The 21,125-nt window shown below is 37.6% G+C and overlaps 1 long non-coding RNA gene across 1 annotated transcript in view; it reads right to left on the bottom strand.

Annotated features, from left to right (window-relative positions):
- MYHAS (myosin heavy chain gene cluster antisense RNA) overlaps window positions 1-21,125 on the bottom strand; it is a 242,409-nt gene that overhangs the window by 134,429 nt on the left and 86,855 nt on the right. The gene's annotated exons all lie outside the window — the stretch shown is intronic.

The following is a 21,125-nucleotide window of genomic DNA, read 5'->3' as shown; positions in this document are numbered from 1 at the left end:
TATCCTAATATTCGAATTACACATTGCCATTTCCTTTGGTTATTCACAATGAGAAAAACGATAAATAAATGGGCATATGTTAAGCAAAGAGTCAGGAAAAGATGGAAGGATCTGATTATGGTAGCAAATCTTAGCTGTACCCTCACTTAATATTGACCCTCCTGGAAAACATGAGATCTCTTATGCTCTTTGGAATATTCCCCTCAACCCACTTCTTGGTTTAAATTGAAATCTGCCTCCCCCTGATAAAAATCCTTCCCTGTAAGTCTTCTTAAGAGGTGGCCATTATTCTCTCATGGTTCAAGAACTCCTTAGTCCTAAGCTAGAAATAATACCCCTCTCAATTCCCCTTGTTGCTTATCCTCCTATAGAAGACTCTTCCTTCTTTGAAGTTCATATTATTTAGCTATTCCACATACCTACTGTGGTCATTTACTAACTTTTCATTCATCAAAGATTTTGGCACCTGCTTTTCCTTTCCACCCAATCCTTACCACATTCCTGGGAGATTTCAATGTCCACATGGATGATTCATAGACTATACTAACTTCCACCTCGACTACCTTCTCTGCCACTACCCCTCTTCCATAGTCTCATCTCACTCTAGAAAATATCACAAAACTGCCCAATCTCCATTCTCCAAACTAACTACATAAAGCATCTCCTTTCTGATTTTCTACCTTACTTGTTGGACTATTCCCGACATAACATTTCTTCAACCCCATTAGCACCTGAATATTTGGTCTCTTTACTTCTTAACTAAATCAGCCTCTTTTTTATCTTTATTTCTCTTCCCATTTAAGGAAAATTCATAACCTATCTTTATAGCCATTCTCTTGACAACTCCCTAAATTTCTCTGCCATTCTCTATACCCTATTACATTTGAGTGGAAAGAACTAAACCTGAATAAACTCAGACACCAATGCAGGACTACACAGATAACAAAGGATCATGTAAACATGACACCACCAAATGAAACTAATAAAGCTCCAATAACCAACCCCAAAGAAATGGAGATCTATAAACTGCATGAAAAAGAATTCAAATAATAATCTTAAAGAAGCTCAATGAGAAGCAAGAAAACCAAAATAGACAACTAAACAAAATTAGGAAAACAATGCATGAACAAAGTGAAAAGTTTAACAAAGAAATAGAAACCATAGTAAAGACAAAAAAAACCCCCAGAAATCCTGGAGCTGAATAATACTATAAAAGATAGAAAAATTCAATAAAAAGTTTCAACAACTGACTCAATCATGCAAAAGAAAGAATTAGTGAATTCAAAGATCTGTCATCAGAAATTAGTCAATTAGAGGATCAAAAAAGGAAAAAGAAAAAGCATAAAGGACTATGGACACCATCAAGCATACAAATATATAAATTATGACAGTGTCAGAAGGAGAAGAGAGAAAAAGGGACAAAAAGCTTATTTAAAGAAATACTAGCTAAAAATTCCCAAATCTTGAAAAGGATATACATATCCAGATCCATGAAACTCATAGAATCACAAGACAAATTAACCCAAAAAAAGAATATTCCAAGATATTGTAATAAAATTGTGAAAGTCAAAGATGGAAAATTTTGAAAGAAGCAAGAAAAAAGCAGCTCATCACATACAAGGGAACCTACATAAAGCTAACAGTGGACTTCTCAACAGAAACCCTGCAAGTCAGAAAGGAGTGGGATGACATATTCAAAGTGCTGAAATAAAACACTACAAGCAAAAATACTGTACTTGGCAAAGGTATCCTTCAGAAATGAAAAAGCAATAAAGACATTCCCAGACAAACAAGAGCTCAGAGAGCTCACCACTACAAGACCTGCCTAACAAAAAATGCTAAAGGGAATTCTTCAGATTGAAATGAAAGAATGCTAAGTACGACATGAAAACATATGAGGTCGGAGATGGTGGTTCACGCTGGTAATCTCAGCATTTTAGGAGGCCAAGGCAAGTGGATCAATTGAGGCCAGGAGTTTGAGACCAGCCTAGCCAACAAGTTGAAACCCCATTTTGTGCCTATAGTCCCAGCTACTCAGCAGAATTGCTTGATTCTCCCTCAGGCAGGAGAATCGCTTGAACCCAGGAGGCAGAGGTTACAGTGAGCTGAGATCATGCCACTGCACTCCAGCCTAGGCAGCAGAGCAAGACAAGAAAGAAAGAAAGATGAAAGAAAGAAAGAAAGAAAGAAAGAAAGAAAGAAAGAAAGAAAGAGAAGAGAAGGAAAGAAAGAAAAGAAAAGAAGGAAGAGAGAGAGAGAAAGAAAGAAAGAAAAGAAAAGAAAAAGAAAGAAAGAAAATAGGAGAGAGGAAGGAAGGAAGGAAAAGAGAAAACATATGAAAGTATAAAACTCATAGGGAAAGTTAAATACACAGTCAAAATCAGAATACTCTAATATTGTAATAGTGCTGTGTATTTCACTTCCAATTCTAGTATAAAAGCTAAAATACAAAAAGATTTTAAAACTATAGCTATAATAATTTAATATAAACTAATATATATAAATTTTATACACAACATAAAAATATGTAAACTGTGGCATAAAACATGGAGAAAAATAAAAGTGTAGAGTTTTTGTATATGATTAAAGTTGTTATCCACTAAAAAGAGAAGGTTATGTAAGCCCCATGTTAACCACAAAAATAACCCCTATGGTAGATGCACAAAAGATAAATAGAAAAAAATCAACATGTACCACTAAGAAAACCCAAAAAATCACAAAGACAGCAAGAAAGAAGAAGGAAACAAAAGATCTACAAAACAATCAGAAAACAATTACCAATTAAAAGGCAATAGTAAGTCCTTTCAATAATTACTTACAATGTAAATAGACTAAATTCTCCAATCGAAAGAAACAGAGTGGCTGAATGGATTTAAAAGACAAGATCCAAAAATATGCTGTCTACAAGAGACTCACTTTAGTCTGAAGGACATAGGTAGACAGAAAGTAGAGATAGACAGTTATTCCATGCAAATGGTAACCAAAAAATAACATGAGTGGCTACACTTATATTAATTTCAGTCAAATTCTGTCATGAAACAAAGTAGGTCACTATGTAATGATAAAAGAATCAATCCATTAAGAGGATATAATAATTGTAATTATATATGCACCCAACATTAGAGCACCTAAAAATATAAAGTAAATATTAACAAAACTAAGGGAAGAAATAGACAGCAATATAATAGTAGAAGACTTCAATATCCCACTTTTAACAATGGATAGACCAACCAGACAGAAAATCAGAAGGGAAACTGCAGACTTAATAACAATATAGACCAAATGGGTCTAACAGACATATATGGACCATTCCATCCCAAAACAACAGAATATATATTCTTCTTAAATGCACCTGAACATTTTCCAGGACAGGTTACATATTTGGCCACAAAACAAGTCTTAACAAGTTTAAAAATATTAAGATCAAGTATTATTTCTAACCACAATGGTATAATACTAAAAAGAAATAACAAGAACATTTTGAAAAATTCACAAATATGTGAAAGTTAAACAACACACTCCTGAACAACCAATGGATCAAAAAAGAAATCAAAGAGGGAAATAAAAAAATATCTTGAGACAAATAAAAATGAAAATACAACATACTCAAATTTATGGGATGCTGAAAAAGCAGTTATAAGAGGGAAATTTATAGTGATAAATACCAACATTAAGAAAAAAAAAGACTTCAAATAAACTACCTAACTTCACACCCCAAGAAATCAGAAAAAAATAAACTAAGGTCAAAGTCAGAAGAAGGAATGAGAAAGAAATAAAGATTAGGGCAGAAATAATGAATCAGAGACTATAAAGAGAGTAGAAAAGGTCAACAAAACTATGACTTGGTTTTGTCAAAAGATAAAAAACATTGGCAATTCTTCAGCTAAACTAACCAAGAAAAAAAGAGGACTCAGATACATAAAATTATAAATGAAAAAGAAACATTACAACTCATATTACAGAAATATAAAGGATCATAGGGACTATTATGAACAGCTATAGTCAATACATTGAATAACCTAGAAGAAATAGATAAATTCCTAGAAATAGACAACCTACCAAGACTGAAGCATAAATAAAAAGTCCGAACAGACCAATAATGAGCAAGGAAAATGAATCAGTAATCAAAAAGTCCCAACAAAGAATAGCCCATGACCAGATGGCTTCACAAGTGAATTCTACCAAGCAATGAAACAATTAATGGCAATAATTCTCAAACTCTTCCAAAAGAATGAAGAGAAGAGAACATTTCCAATCTCATTTGTTTGAAACCAGCCGTACTCTCATACCAAAGCCAGATATGAACACTATAAGAAAATAGAATCACAGGTCAATATCCCTGATGAACACAGATACAAAAATCCTCAAGAAAATACTAGCAAACTGAATTCAACAACACATTAAAAGGATCATATGCCATGATCAACTGAGATTTATTCCTATAATTCAAGGATGGTTCAATATATACATATCAATAAATGTAGCATACTACATTAACAGAAAGAAGGATGGATTAAAATCATATTATCATCTCAGTCATGCAGAAAAAGCATTTAATATAATTCAAAATTCTTTCATAATAAAAACAATGACATAGATATAGATAGAAGGAATGTTCTTCAACACAATTAAGACCATATATGACAACCCCACAGCTAACATACTCAATGGTGAAAAGTTGAAGGTTTTTGCTCTAAGATCAAGAGTGAGATAAGGTTACCCACTCTCACTACTTCTTTTCAACATAGTGCTGGAAGTCCTAGCCAGAACAATTATGCAAGTAAAAAAAAATAAAAAGCCATCTAAATAAAAAAGGAAAAAGTGAAATTGTCTCTGTTTGCTGATGACATAATCTTATATATAAAAAGCCCTAAGGATACCACCAAAAAACTGTTAGAACTAGCAAAGAAATTCTGCTAAGTTGCAAGATACAAAATTAACATACAAAAATCAGCAGTGTATACCACTGATTCTGTACACAAACAACTATCTTTTAAAAATTAGGAAATAATCCCATTTACAATAGCATCTAAAAACAAATACACATAGAAGTTAATATGGTTTCTGTTGTGGGAAGTCAGGGACCCCAAATGGAGGGACCGGCTGAAGCCATGGCAGAACATAAATTGTGAAGATTTCATGGACATTTATTAGTTCCCCAAATTAATACTTTTATAACTTCTTACACCTGTCTTTACTGCAATCTCTGAACATAAATTGTGATGATTTCATGGACATTTATCACTTCGCCAATCAATACTCTTGTGATTTCCTATGCCTGTCTTTACTTTAATCTCTTAATCCCATCATCTTTGTAAACTGAGGATGTATGTCACCTCAGGACCCTGTGATGATTGCATTAACTGCACAAATTGTTTGTAGAGCATGTGTGTTTGAACAATATGAAATCTGGGCACCTTAAGAACAGGATTAACAGCGATTTTCAGGGAAGAAGGGAGATAACCTTAAAGTCTGGCTGCCTGTGGGCTGGGCAGGACAGAGCCATATTTCTCTTATTACCAAAAACGGGTCAGAGAAATATCGCTGAATTCTTTTCCCAGTAAGGAATATTAATAATTAACAGCCCTGGGAAAAGAATGCATTCCCAGGGTGGGGCCTCTAAAATGGCTGCCCTGGGAGTGTCTGCCTTATGCAGATGTAGACAGGGATGAAACACGCCCTAGTCTCCTGCAGCACCCCCAGGCTTGCTAGGATTAGGAAATTCCAGCCTGGCAAATTCTAGTCAGATCGGTCCTCTGCTCTTGAACCCTGTTAAGATGTCTATCAATGACAATGCGTACACAGTGGGATGTGGAAGTTCATTAGTGATTCTAGTTTCCCCCTGACCTTGTGATCTCACCCTGACCTTCTGCCTTGTGATCTTTTGTTGCCCTTAAAGCATATGATCTCTGTGACCCACACCCTATTCGTACACTCCCTCCCCTTTGAAAATTGCTAATAAAAACTTGCTGGTTTTATGGCTCAGGGGGCATCACGGAATCTGCCAACATGTGATGTCTCCCCCAGACACCCAGCTTTAAAATTTCTCTCTCATACTCTTTCCCTTTATTTCTCAGACCAGCCGACACTTAGAGAAAATAGAAAAGAACCTATGTTGACTTATCGGGGGCTGGTTCCCCTGATAGGTTTCAATCTGTGTCCCCACCCAGATCTCATGTTCAATTGTAATACCCCAGTGTCAGAGGTGGGGCCTGGTGGGGGAGGGGTGGATCCTTCATAAATGGTTAAGCACTATCCCCTTGGTCATGTTTTGTAATAGAGTTCTCACAATATCTGGTCATTTAAAAATGTGTAGCACCTCCCCACCTCTCTCTTCCTCTTGCTCCAGCCATGTAAGACGCTCCTGCTTCCCCATCACCTTCTGCCATGATTGTAAATTTCCTGAGGCCTCCTCAGAAGAAGCCACTATACTTCCTGTACAGCCTGTGAAAGTATAAGCCAATTAAACCTCTTTTCTTTGTAAATTACCCAGTCTCAGGTATTTCTTTATAGCAGAGTGAGAACAGACTAATACAGGAGTAAATTTAACCAACAAAGTGAAATATGTGTTTACCAAAAACCATAAAACATTAATGAAAGAAATTGAAGATGACACAAATAGATGGAATGATATCTTATGTTCATAGATTGGAAGAATAAATTTTGTTAAAATGTCCATACTACCCAAAGTGATCTACAGAGTCGATGCAATTCCTATAAAAATTCCAATGTTATTCTTTATAGAAATAGAAAAAAAAATCCTAAAATTTGTATGGAAGCACAAAAGACCCCAAATAGTCACAGCAATTTTGATCAAAATGAACAACGTTGAAGGCATCACACTACCACATTTCAAAATACATTACAAAGTTATATGATATGGTTTGGATTTGTGTCCCTGCCCAAATCTCATGTCAAATTGGAGGAGGGAGCTGGTGGGAGGTGACTGGATCATGGGGGCGGATTTCCACTTTGCTGTTCTCATGATAGTGAGTGAGTTCTCATGATATCTGATAGTTTAAAAGTGTGTTGGATCATGGGGGTGGATTTCCCCTTTGCTGTTCTTGTGATAATAAGTGAGTTCTCATGAGATCTGATGATGGCTTAAAAGTGTGTGGCACTTTCTCTCTCTCTCTGTCTCTCTGTCTCCCTCCTACCACTGTGTGAAAAAGGTCCTTGCTTCCCCTTTGCCTTCTGCCATGATTGTAAGTTTCCTGAGGCCTCACAGCCATGCTTCTTGTTAAGCCTATGGAGCTGAGTCAATTAAACCTCTTTTCTTCATAAATTGCCCAGTTCCAGGTAGTTCTTTATAGCAGTGTGAAAATGAACAAATACACTATAGTAATCAAAATAGCATGGTAGTTGCATGAAAACAGATGCACTGACCAATGGAATAAGAATAGAAAGCCCAGAAATAAACTTGCACATCTATAGTCAATTGATTTTTGACAAAGATGCCAAGAATACCAATAGGGAAAGGATAGTCTCTTCAATAGTGGTGGAAAAATTGAGTATCCACATGCATAAGAGTGAAATAGACCCTTATCTCATCATTTATAGAAGAACTAACTCAAAATGGAATAAAGACTTAAACATAATACCTGAAGCTGTAAAACTACTAGAAGAAAACATGGGGAAAAAATCTCCATGACAATGGTATGGGCAGTGATTTCTTTGGTATGACCCCAAGAGCATGGAAAACAAAAGCAAAAATAAACAAATGAGACTGCATCAAGTTAAAAGGCTTTTCTGTACAGCAAAGGAAAGTTAATGGCGTGAAGAACCAACCCACAGATTGGGAGTGATACGGTTTGACTGTGTCCCCACCCAAATCTCATCTTGCATTGTAGTTCCCATAATCCCCACACGTCATGGAAGGCACCCAGTGGGAGGTGACTGAATCACAGGGGCAGTTACCTTCATGCTGTTCTCATGATAGTGAGTTCTCCTGAGATCTGATGGTTTCATAAGCAAATTTTCCACCTTTTGCTTGGCACTTCTTGCTGCTAGCATGTGAAGAAGCACGTGTTTGCTTCCCCTTCAGCCATGACTGTAAGTTTCCTGAGGTCTCCCCAGCCATGCTGAACTGTGAGTCAATTAAACCTCTTTCCTTTATAAATCACCCAGTCTCAGGTATGTCTTTATTAGCAGTGTAAGAATTGACTAATACAGTAAATTGGTACCACAGAGAGTCGGGTGCTGCTGTAAGGATGTCGAAAAATGTGAAAGCAACTTTGGAATTCGGTAACAGGCAGAGGTTGGAACAGTTTGGAGGGCTCAGAACAAGACAGGAAAATGTGGGAAAGTTTGGAACTTCCTAGAGACTTGGAGGGCTCAGAAGACAGGAAGATGTGAGAAGTTTGGAACTTCCTAGAGACTTGTTGAATGGCTTTGACTAAAATGCTGATAGTGATATGGACAATGAAGTCCAGGCTGAGGTGGTCTCAGATGGAGATGAGAAACTTGTTGGGAACTGGATTAAAGGTGACTCTTGCTATGGAAAGAGACTAGTGGCATTTTGACCCTGCCTTAGAGATCTGTGGAACTTTGAACTTGAGAGAGATGACTTAGGGTATCTGGTGGAAGAAATTTTTAAGCAGCAAAGCATTCAAGCAGAAGCAGAGCATAAAAGTTTGGAAAATTTGCAACCTGATGATGCAATAGTAAAGAAAACTCCATTTTCTGGAGAGAAACTCAAGCTGGCTGCAGAAATTTGCAAAATTAATAAGAAGCCAAATGTTAATCACTAAGACATTGGGGAAAATGTCTCCATGGAAGGTCAGAGACCTTCACAGCAGCTCCTCCCATCACAGGCCTGGAGGCCTAGGAGGGAAAAAATGGTTTCGTGGGGTGGGCTCAGGCCCCCCTGCTCTATGCAGCCTTAGGACATGGTGCACTGCATTCCAGCTGCTTCAGCTCCAGCCATGGCTAAACAGGGAACAGGGCCAAGGTACAGCTTGGCCATTGCTTCAGAGGATGCAAGCCCCAAGTCTTGGCAGCTGACTCATGGTGTCAGGCTTGCAAGTGCACAGAAGTCAAGAATTGAAATTGGGGAACCTCTGCCTGGATTTCAGAAGATGTATGGAAATGCCTGGGTGTCCAGGCAGAAGTTTGCTGCAGGGGCAGAGCCCTCATAGAGAACCTCTACTAGGACAGCATGGAAAGGAAATGGGGGTGCAGAGCCCACACACAGAGTTCCCACTGGGGCACTGCCTAGTGGAGCTGTGAGAAGAGGGCCATTGTCCTCCAGACCCCAGAATGGTAGATCCACCAACAGCTTGCACCATGCCCCTGGAAAAGCTGCAGACACTCAATGCCAAGCCATGAATGCAGCCAGGTGGCAGGCTGTATCCTGCAAAGCCATGGGGGCAAAGCTGCCTAAAGCCATGGGGGCCTACCACTTATATCAGCGTGACCTGATATAAGTCTCACTTATATCTGTGAGACATGGAGTCAAAAGAGATTATTTCAAAGCTTTAAGATTTAATTCCTGCCCTATTGGATTTCAGACTTGCATGGGACCAGTAGCCCCCTTTTTTTGGCCGATTTATCCTATTTGGAACAGATATACTTACCCAATTCATGTACCTCCATTGTATCAAGGAAGTAACTAACTTGCTTTTGATTTTACACGCTCATCGGCAGAAGGGAGCTGCCTTGTCTCAGATGAGACTTTGGACTTGGACTTTGGAGTTAATGCTGGAATAAGTTAAGACTTTGGGGGACTGTTGGAAGGGCATGATTTTGGTTTGAAATGTGAGGACATGAGATTTGGGAGGGGCCAGGAACAGAATGACATGGTTTGGCTGTGTCCCCACCCAAATCTCATCTTGAATTGTAGTTCCCATAATCCCCACATGTCATGGGAGAAACCTGGCGAGAAGTAATTTAATCATAAGGGTGGTTACCCTATGCTGTTCTTGTGATAGTGAGTGAGTTCTCATGAGATCTGATGGTTTTATAAGGGGCTTTTCCCCCTTTTGCTCAGCACTTCTCCTTGCTGCCACCACGCAAAGAAGAACATGTTTGCTTCCCCTTCTGCCATGATTGTAAGTTTCCTGAGGCCTTGCCAGCCATGCTGAACTGAGTCAATTAAACCGTTTTCCTTTACAACTTACCCAGTCTCGGGTATGTCTTTATTAGGAGTGTAAGAATGGACTAATACAGGGATAAAATGTTTACAAATCATAAATTGGATAGGGAGCTAATATCCAAAATGTAAAAGGAACTCAAACTACTCAAAAACAAGAAAACAAATAACCCTATTTAAAAATGGGCAAAGGACCTAAATTTCTTAAAAGAAGACATACAAATGGCCAACCAATATATGAAAAGGTGCTCAATATCTCTAATCAGAAAAATTCAAATCAAAACCACAATGTCACTTCATGTGTGTTAGGATGGCCATTATCAAAAAGAGAAGAGATAGTAAGTATTTGGCAAGGCTATAGAGAAGAGGGAACCCTTGTATATTGTTCCTGGGCATGCGAATTGGTATAGCCATTTTGGAAAACAGTATTGAGGTCCTTTAAAGAATTAAAAATAAAACAGCAATTCCACTTCTGAGCGTACAAAGGAGATTAAATCAGTATCTTAAAGAGACACCAGCACTCCCATATTTACTGCAGAATTATTCACAACAGCCAAGATATGGAAACAACCTAAGTGTCTATCAATGGGTGAGTGGATAAAGAAAATGTAACACACACACATACACACACAAATGTTATTCAACCATATAAAAGAAGATAATCTTGCCATTTACAATGACATGGATGAACCATAAGGACATTATGCTAAGTGAAATAAGCCAGTCTCAGAAAACCAAATACCACATGATCTCATTTATATGGTGGAATCCAAAAAGTTGAACTCACAGAAGCAGAGAGTAAAACAGTGGTTGCCAGGGGCTGAGAGTGGGGGGAATCAAAAAGATGTTGGTTAAAGGGTAAAAAATTTCACATATAAGAGAACTAAATGCTGGAGATCTAACATACAGCATGGGTAGTGATGGATGTGTTAATTTAATTGATGTAATCATTACACAATGTATATGTATAGCAAATCATCAAGCTGTACACCTTGAAAATATACAATTTGTCAATTAAATATTTTAAATTAAAAAAAGAAAAAAATAGATGTCACCAAAAGGAAATGGGCTCACGTTTATACTGCCAAGCCATCTTGCTCAAAAGGAAATGGACTCACATTTACACTGTCAAACCATCTTCCTCCTTCCAGTGAGGAGGTGTCTCCTCCAATTTAAGGCCATCTTCTCTGCTTGGCACTAAATCTCCCTCCCTCCCTCCTTTCTTTTTTGGAAGATTTATATAATAGACTACTTCTCTTTCATTTTCATCCCCAATATCTCCCACTGTACTGGATCCTTTCTTAAACTCTCTCTTGATCCTATTTCTTTCTCCAGATTTTGTCTCACTTCTCAACTTTACAACAAAGTGTCTGAAAAGAATTGTGTATACACGCTGTTTTCATTTCCTCACCTCCCACCTACTCTTTAATTCATTTCAAAATAGTTTTTGCTCCCTCACTGAAATGGATCTCACTATGATTCAGTGATTCATTTGTTGCTAAATCAAATGGACACTTCTCAAGCCTTAACTAACATAACCTTCCAATTACATTTTATACATCTGACAATTCTTTCTTTCTGAAATTGATCTCTTCACCTGATTTCCAAGACTTTTTCCTGCCCTGGTTTTCTTCAGAGCTTTGGCTATCTAGTCTCTCCTTCTCTCTCCTTTGTCAGTTCAACTTCCTCTCTATAACCTTCAAGTGTTTATGTGAGCTCAATGTGATATGACTCAAGGTCCCATCTTAGACCCCCATCTCTTCTCACTTAACATTTTCTCCCTAAATGATTTCATCTACTCCCTTAGCTTCTATTGCCATTCATAACCTATGAATTCCAACTTTATATCCCAAGCCTAATTCTCTCCCTTGAGAGTCAGACTCAATCTCACTACTAATAGGCACTTCAAACGCAACACAGCCAAGACGAATTCATGACCTTACCCTCCTCTCTTTAAAACTTGCTTTTGTTCCCATACCACTCTATCATAGTGGATGGCAACATTATCTACATAGTTGGCTCAAGCTAAAAGCTAGGAATCAGCCTTGAAATCTACATGTCCTTCATTCCCCCATATCCAATCAATCATTAACTTTTTTTTACTACTCCTAAACATCTTTCAAGACCATCGATTTCTCTTTATCTTTACTGTCATCTTCCTTGTCCAAACTACTATCATCTACTGCCTGGTCTTCCACATACCTATTCTTACTTCACAAATCTATTCTAAACTGCAGGCAGAGAGAGCTTTTTAAAAATAATAGGCTGATCACAACACTCTGTAGCTTAAAACCATCCCTTTGCTCTTAGCATAAAGGCCAAAACCCTAAAGAAGTCCTTTCGCACCTTGGAAGCTTCGCCTTGTGATACTCTTCACTTCCTAGTCCCTCCAGAACAGTTAAGATGTCCCTGTTATATGATATCATCATTTATTACTTATAATAACTATAATAATGTCTTTCTCTCTGATTAAAATACAAGCTACATGAGTGTAAATTGGGGGTCTTACTTGTTCATTCTTGTATCCTTCCACTTGGGATTGTGCCTTGAACAGTTTATGCTCAATACTTGTATTTTGAAAGTATAAGTAAATGAATGTCTCCAATTTTTACCCAACTTTCATGCTTTCTGTAGGCATCAAAGTATTCACTTTTATAAATTCTATGATACCCAGGTAGACTGAAGTGCTGCCTTTCCCATATTTTAATATCACAGTCATATTCTTCTTTCTCCTGTTGTAATGCTTTTTCCTCCTCTTTGCAAGTCCACCCTACTCATCCTTCAATGTTACCAGCTTCAGAAAGCATTCCCTAGTAGGAAGGAGAATCTGTCTGTAATAAGCTAATATTTTCCCCCTTTCAGTTATTACTTCCTATCTTACATCTCCTATTGATTTACTCCATCCTGATTATCTGTCCTGTTCAGTTATTGCATCCAGTCTTATGTCTCCTGCTTAGTTATTGCATCCTGTCTTAACTTTCCAATCCAGATATTCCACTCTTTCTTATTTCTCCTGCCCTTTTATTGCATCCTATCTTATCTTTCCATTTCACTTACTGCATCCTGTCTTATCTCTTCTGACCAGTTACTCCTGCTTGTCTTATCTTTCCTATTTAGTTATTTCATCCTGTCTTATCTTTCCTGCTCATTTACTACATGCATCCTGTCTTATCACTCCAGTTCACTTACTGTATCCTGTCTTATCTCTCTTTTTCATTTATTGTGTCATGTTACCTTTCGCATTGAGTTATTCCATCTTGTCTCTTCCACTCATTTTTGTAACCTGTCTTATCTCACCTGCTCATGTACTGCATCCTGTCTCACCTCTCATATCCATTTATTGCATCCTGTCTTCTCTCTCTTTCTCTCTCATTTGTTGTACCTGTCTGATCTCTCCCTGTCATTTATTACATCCTGTCTTGTCTTTTTCATTTATCACATCCTTTCTTCTCTCTCCTCTCCAATCCCTGTATCTTGTCTTATCTCTCCCATTCAATTATTATATCCTGTCTTATCCCTCCTGTTCAGTTATTCCATCCTGTCTTATCTTTTACCTTCAGTTATTGCATCCTGACTTGCCTCTCCTCTTCAATTATTGCATCCTGTCTTATTTCTCCTGTTACTCAAGGCAAATCCAGATTTCAGATTGATACATTCATTTTACTTGTTCAAAGAAAAATATCTGTATTTATCCACATTTTACTTCTGCATTTTCCCCAGCTACAACCTATGTTTAAGAAACAATTATTTTTTTCAATCTTTTCTCTTAGTTTCAACACTGTCAAAATCAACAGGCTACTGTTTACCCAGTAAAATTTATAAAAATCCAAAGTACTCACAAACAACTAGTACATGAAAAAGAAAACATTTAATCCATTTTCCCAACATAACTGCCTCTTATCTTTTTACAGTTATCTTTCATTGCTATCCCACAACTTGGAAACAGAGTGTATTCTCTTCCTATCTCTAATGCCAACTCTACAGGAGATGCTAGCTGTTGGCAGGAACAGCAGTGACTTCCCGGTACTTCTTTTCTTGATTAAAGGTATCTTAGCGCCATACCCAAAACTTGAACACAAATAAAATTCTTGAAAGGAAGCATGACTTTTAACATAAAAGTCTACCTCCTGGAGCAAGATGCCTAAGCAAGTCTTGCTCTCTAACTGGAACTGAGGAAGAGGTGAGAATTTAAGGAAATCGAAGATATAATTAAATTTGTCCACTGATTTATTTGTACTACTGTTCATCAATACTTGGAAAATCAGATTCTCAAATAGTAAGTATTAATGTTGCCTGAGCAGTGGAGCTAGCATATGATTTTTCATACCTTAGGGTAGAAATGTCAGATAACAACAAGGAAGGAAAATAAGAGTAAGCCACACAAATAAGTATCGACCCTTGGGAATCCAGGTCCTAAATAATAACACAGAATAACTAGAAAGAGTTGAAAGATTCTATCTCTCCAATTTTTTTCCCACTGAGACTTGCTTGCCCAAGAAAATGTGTGCCTCTGAGTTATTATAACATCACATTTACACTTCTCTATTCATACAATGGAAGAAGTAAGAGGAAAGGTGTAGACAGCCAGGAGGGGTAAGTGGTGAGTGAGCAAAACTGTTTCGTGTATTGGGGCCAAATGATGAATATGTCACCAAGATAGAAGTTTTGAAAAACAGGTTCAAGTCTCTACTTATATCCTGTAGTAAAGAAAACATAAGTCTCTATACGTTTCTATCTTTCAGAGTCATGTAATTTCCATATTTCTATGTGTCATGATTTTAATTTATTTGTGGCATCCTGGTTTTGAATATGTCTGCTTCTGGTGGATAAGAATTATGGTATGTTCAACAACTGGATACCATAACATCACATGAAGTTCCCATACATGTAGGTTTTCATAAAGTGTAAGTCATTTTACAGGAGGTCCCTCACTTATTATCCTGTTAGCTTTTTACTTCTGGCATTGCCTTTACTGTGTCAATAAAATACCACATTAGATAAATATAGAATCTTTGAGTTGGAAGGGCCCTTAGAGGCCATACAGTAAAAGGATAGGCAAAGCACCAGGCATGGTGGCTCACACCTGTAATCTCAGCACTTTGGGAGACTGAGGCATGTGGATTGCCTGAGCTCAGGAGTTCAAGACCAGCCTGGGAAACTTGGCGAAACCCTGTCTCTACCAAAAATACAAACAATTAGCTGGGCATGGTGGTGCGTGCCTGTGGTCAGCTACTCAGGAGACTGAGGTGGGAGAATCGCGTGAACCTGGGAGGCAGAGGTTGCAGTGAGCCGAGATAGTGCCACTGCACTCCAACCTGGGTAACAGAGTGAGAGCCCATCTCAGAAAAAAAGTGAGGGGAAGGGAAGGGAAGGGGAGGGAAGGAAAGGAGAGGCAAGGGGAGGCAAAGGGAGGGGAGGGGAGGGGAGGGAAAAAAGGATATGCCATGGTCTCTGGGATAAACCTGCCTGAGCTGAGCACTAACTCTACCACACACCAGAGTTATGTGGCCTGGGCAATTTACTTACTCAGACTGTGGCTCAATTCCTTTTCAGTATATGGTAATAATAGTACTTTCTACTCTTCGGGTTTGTGTGAGGATAACATGAAGCAATGTATATCAAATGTTTAGAATACACACACGGTTTGTAGTAGGCATTCAAAATACGGAGCTATTTTTTTCTCACTCACTTCCCCCAAATTTTCCCTACCTGGAATGCTCTTCATTTAGATTTTTGCATGGCTAATTATTTCACATTATTCAAGTCACAGCTGAAAGAAGCCTACCTCTTGTGGTCCTCTCCCCACATCAATCTCTATCTCGTTACTCTAATTTATACCTTCCATGGTCTAGCACTTGGAATATGAAATTCTTCTTTAAGTATTTTTATGAGCATATTGTCTCCACTACCACCCCCATCAAAATGTAAGTTCTATCAGAGCAAGCACTTTGGTTTTTAAACCATTGTATATCTGCTCAATAAATACCAATTGAACGAGTGAATACTAACATGGAAAGAAGCTCAAAATACAGTATAATGAAAAAAAAATCCGTGTAATACAATCCCATTTGTATAATACAATCCCACTTGTATAACACAATCCCATTTGTATAAACACCATCCGTATAATACAATCCCATTTGTATAAATATATACACTATATATGTGTGCACAAAAATGTGTTTGCATGTATAGAAAACGGCCTCTGGGACTCCCCAGAGTTTAGATTCAGCACATAGTCATCCTTGACTTAATCATCATCACTATGTGTGTACCTTCTCCAAAACCTCAATTTCAATCATACTATTCAGCCTCTGCACAAACTTGCATAAGGAGAAGCAGATAATCTAAATAGGACTATATCTATTGCAGAAGTTGAATCAAGAATTCCCTAAAAAAGCACCAAGCTCAGATGGTTTCACTGGCGAATTCCACGAAACATTTAAGGAAGAAATAATACTAATTATCCACAATAATTTCAGGAACATAAAAGCAGAGAAAATATTTTCTGACTCATTCTTTGAGGCCAGCATGACCCATACCAAAACCAAATAAAGATGTTATGAGAAAGAAAAAATACACACCAATATCTCTCATAAACATAGATGCAAAAATCCTCAACAAAATCTTAGCAAATCAAATCCAACAGTGTATAAAAAGAGTTACACATCTCAACCAATTGGGATTTATTACAATCAATCTCTATCCAATACCTTCTGTTCTTCCAGCTCACCTACTCCAGATTTTCATCCCTACAATTTCTTTGATATCATCAAGACCTTCTATCCATTGATGCCCCTCCACTTTTTCATTGTTCTGGTGTGTCCCCTCATATTCTCACTTCCTTCCTTATTCAAGCTTAAATTTTATGGAACATTATTACAATTACACACTTGAAAAGATTCTTAGCTCCCTTGCCCATCTCTCCCTCTATTGCACTTACCCGATAAACTCTTACCTTGGTTAAACCCAAATATTCATCTTTTCTGTGGACACATCCAAGCAAACAAAGTTGTGGGAAAAAAGCATGTAACTTTGCTAAACAGGTCTCACTTTAATTTCATGATTATCTCTCAGTACTCTGGGGACATGTAGTATACCTTTCACTCTCCAAAATGAACACTTCACATCTTCTCTCTATATACCCACTACATCTCCTCCCCTGCCTTCCACTCAGTCAATGACTTTGCTGCGTACGTCACTGAGAAAACAGAAGCAAGCAGAATTCCTTCCTAAAATTCTCAATGGCTTCCCATATCACTCAGATTAAAAGCCAAAGTCCCTACTGTCCCATAAGTACCAACTCCCTCATCTTTTCAGCATCAAATCTACTAAGCTAAAACTTGCCTTCACTCTCAGTCTTCTTTCCTAATACACAAAGTGTTCCTGTTCCCATCAGAGTCCAACCCTTCCATTTAGCCTCTGGATTCTAGCCCCTCCATCTTTTGCATTATCAATTTGTTTAACTCACAGAATTTTTCTCCCCAACACAAATATATTTAATCTTGCCCATCTTTTAACAATATGCTTAGTTTTTCCTATCTTGACCCCATGTCTGCCTCCAGATACCACTTCATTTATTTGTTATCCTTCTCAACAATCCTTTTTTTCTCTAATCATTATTATAAGTACTTGTCCCTAGGTGTTGAATCACCCCCAGGATTTGGGATCTTAGGGGCCCCAGATATTGGAGAACAGAGAGAACACTGTGTCCTTTCCAAATTATTGACCCACAGAATGCATGTGCCTTCTAAAATGGCTGTTTTAATCCACCATATTTCGGGTAATTTGTTATGCAGCTATAGTCACTAGGACACAGTCCAAGCCATTACTCTATTCCATCTGCATTGTGGCAATGCCTATCTATCCTTGGCCCTGCTGCCCACTGTTGGCCTACCCTTGATGCCTGCAGTCTACACTCAACATAGAAAGCAGAGTGATTTTTACATTCTGTCAGATTTTATTGCTTCTCTTCCTAAAATTCTCACTGGCTTCCCATATTACTCAGATTAAAAGCCAAAAAGTCCCTATAGTCCCATAAGGACCTACATTACCTGACCCTTCCTAACTCATCTCCTGCCACTCTCCTCTTTGCCCATTTTGCTCCTGTTACAGGTTTTCTTGCTGCTTTTTTAAATTGACAAATAAAAATTATATATATTTACACATATCATGGTGTACAACATGATGTTTTAAAATAAGTATACATTCTGGAATAGCTTAATTCAACTAATTAACATATGCATTACCTCACATACTTATTTGTTGTGGTGATAACACTTAAAATCAACTTTCTTACCAATTTTCAAGTATACAATACATTGTTATTAATTATAGTTATGATGCAGTACAATAGATCTCTTGAACTTATTCCTCCTAACTGAAATTGTATATCGTTTAATCAACATCTAATTCCTTCTCCCAACCCTCAATCCCTGGTAATCACTATTCTATTCTGCTTCCGTGAATTCAACTTCAGATTCTACTTATAGGTGAAATCATGTTGTATGTGTCTTTCTGTGCCTGGCTTATTTCACTAGTATAATATTCTCAAGGTTCATACGTGTTATCACAAATTAGACACTTTAGGCATACTCCTACTTTAGAGACTTGGTACTTTGTGCTCCCTCTGTCTGAAAATTCTTCTTCCAGATATTCATATGGCCTGCTCCTTCACTTCTCTCAAACTTCTACTCAAATGACACCTTAATACAGAAGCCCATCCAGGTCACTCCCCTTGGTGCAGTATTCCCTTTACTCCTTACTCTGCTTTATTGTTCCTTTTATAGTAGTTAATACCATCTGACATACTACATATTTACTTGTTTATTTGTTTATGTATATCCACCCCTGCTGACTGAAATTGCCATAAGGGCAGGGCTTTGCCAGTTTTTTGCATTATCCCCTGTGCTATAACAACAGCTGACACATAGCGGACACTCTGTAAGTATGTATTGAGCAAACAAGTGAGTCAATGACCTACCCACATGATGAAATATAACTATGTAGAATGTAATAAAAGTAGTTGACTTGAAAGTGACTATACAACCTCTTTTCAGTAGTGATGGCCCTTTGGAGTCTCAGAGAAATTTAAAAGAAGACAAACACCAGTCTGACTTGCTGAATCTTAAGGGTTTTTTAAATTAATGTCATGCTGCCACACTGGACACTATAGAAGCTAAGACATGAACATCTCCAACCTAGGTCCCAACTGTATTTTTAAACAAAATTTTTAAAAGAAAAAAAATAATCTTGTTCATTAGACATTTCCTATCTACCATCTGTCTTCAGCTCTTTACTACCACTTTAACTCCCTGGGTATATTTGGGAGAAATACCAGCAAGCCATTGTGACCTTCATCTCTAGTGAAGAAATGTTTGCTTCAGCTGCCCCTGGTGACACTATCCTAAGCAGTTTACATACGTGCATGTATGAATTACATAAGATTGCATATAATAAAGTATACATAATCTCCCATATGTGATATAATAATATAATTTCTGATACCTATATATATAAAATCTAATTTAATTCATACAACCCCGTAAGGTGAAGGCAGTATTTGATTTTCACCACATTTATGTTTTTAATAGATAAGGAAATGCAAGGTTATAGAAGCCTATAATATTTCCTAATCTGAGGAAAGTAGAGAGCGAGCAGCTTTTACACAGACTGCTTAAAGACAGTTTCCAAAATAATTCTCCTTATTTAGATTGGAGCCATTCTTCCCACTCATATCTAATCACAAAGAACCATACAAATACAAAAGCCTTCGCATTAATCTCCTGTGTTTTCTATGTAGACAATCCTTTAAGAGGCAAGTCTAAGGGAAATGTGTACTCCCTCACCCAGTGCTGCTTCTCTTCTCTCCTTGTCCAAGCTCTGCAAGGTTCTCTGATCCACTCCTGGTGGCCCATAATAGGGGTCCCACTAGAATATTATGGTCTTGTTTCAGAGCTTTCAAAATCTGAGTGATCAGTCTATCTGTAATTGATCAGAGTTTTAACTATTATGTAAAGAGTCCTCACTATCTGTAATCCTATAACTCATCTATGTATCTTGGTCTCATTCATATTTTCTTCTTTCATCTTTCAACTTCAAATACAGTAAATATAATACATACTTATTATGTCTGCAAGTCAGATGTTAAGTTCCAAAAGAAGTAAAAATAAATGAGTTGTGAAAATCTGAGAGAAAAAATAGAACAAGTTTCCTTCTGGCCTAGAGCCTAGCACTTTGGGTAAGTCGCTAGACTTCGGTGAGTTATTTTCATGGAGATTTTGTTTTTAACGCCTGATGACCTATTTCATAGAATTTTATCAAAATAAATTTTTAAAGTATAAAAGATTCAATCTATCAATGTGTCAAAGATAAATTCTAAGTCAACAGAATTATAAAAACAGTGATCTCATTAATTGGTAATTTAAGCCAGCTAATGATAGTTGAAAATATCTCACCAGAGCTCAGTTAGGGTCACACTTAGAGTAGGTATATTTCCTGCCATATTCAGTAACAGCTGTGTATGTAGCAAAACCATCAAAAGCCAATTTATGAGTATTATGGGCATATGTGATGGCCCATCCATCTTTTCAATCCACAGGGAGAATATCGTGGATACCATGACTTTCCTCCCACCTTAAATAAAAATATGTGGTTCCCACCTCATTAGAGCTATAGCTAGTCATGAGAGTCTGCCCATGAACTAGGAATGCATGTTTGTGTCTCCTTCCATTATGCAGAGGAAACATGCATGGAACATCACACAGCATCCTGTTGTTCCTTCAGTGAAAACATACAAGCTGGAGATATCCATGGAAAGTCCTCCAGAAAAAGAACAGAAGTGTTTATATCTATTCTAAATCCCTTATGCCTCCCCCAGTGGTCCATCACCACTGCCTAATCTGAGAATTCACTTTCACCTTCATATTTAGACTTTCAGACTTTAAAAGAATCTATCGCCAGTCTTTCTAAAATCCAGACTGTGGCTAGGAATGTTGTCTTAAAATCCATCGCTCACTGCTTCCAATCATAGTGT

The sequence above is a fragment of the Homo sapiens genome, chromosome 17 (genome assembly GCF_000001405.40).
Source record: "Homo sapiens chromosome 17, GRCh38.p14 Primary Assembly".
Lineage (NCBI taxonomy): Eukaryota > Metazoa > Chordata > Mammalia > Primates > Hominidae > Homo > Homo sapiens.
The sequence above is the reverse complement of the archived record's forward strand: the minus strand, read 5'-3'. Positions and strand labels throughout refer to the sequence as shown.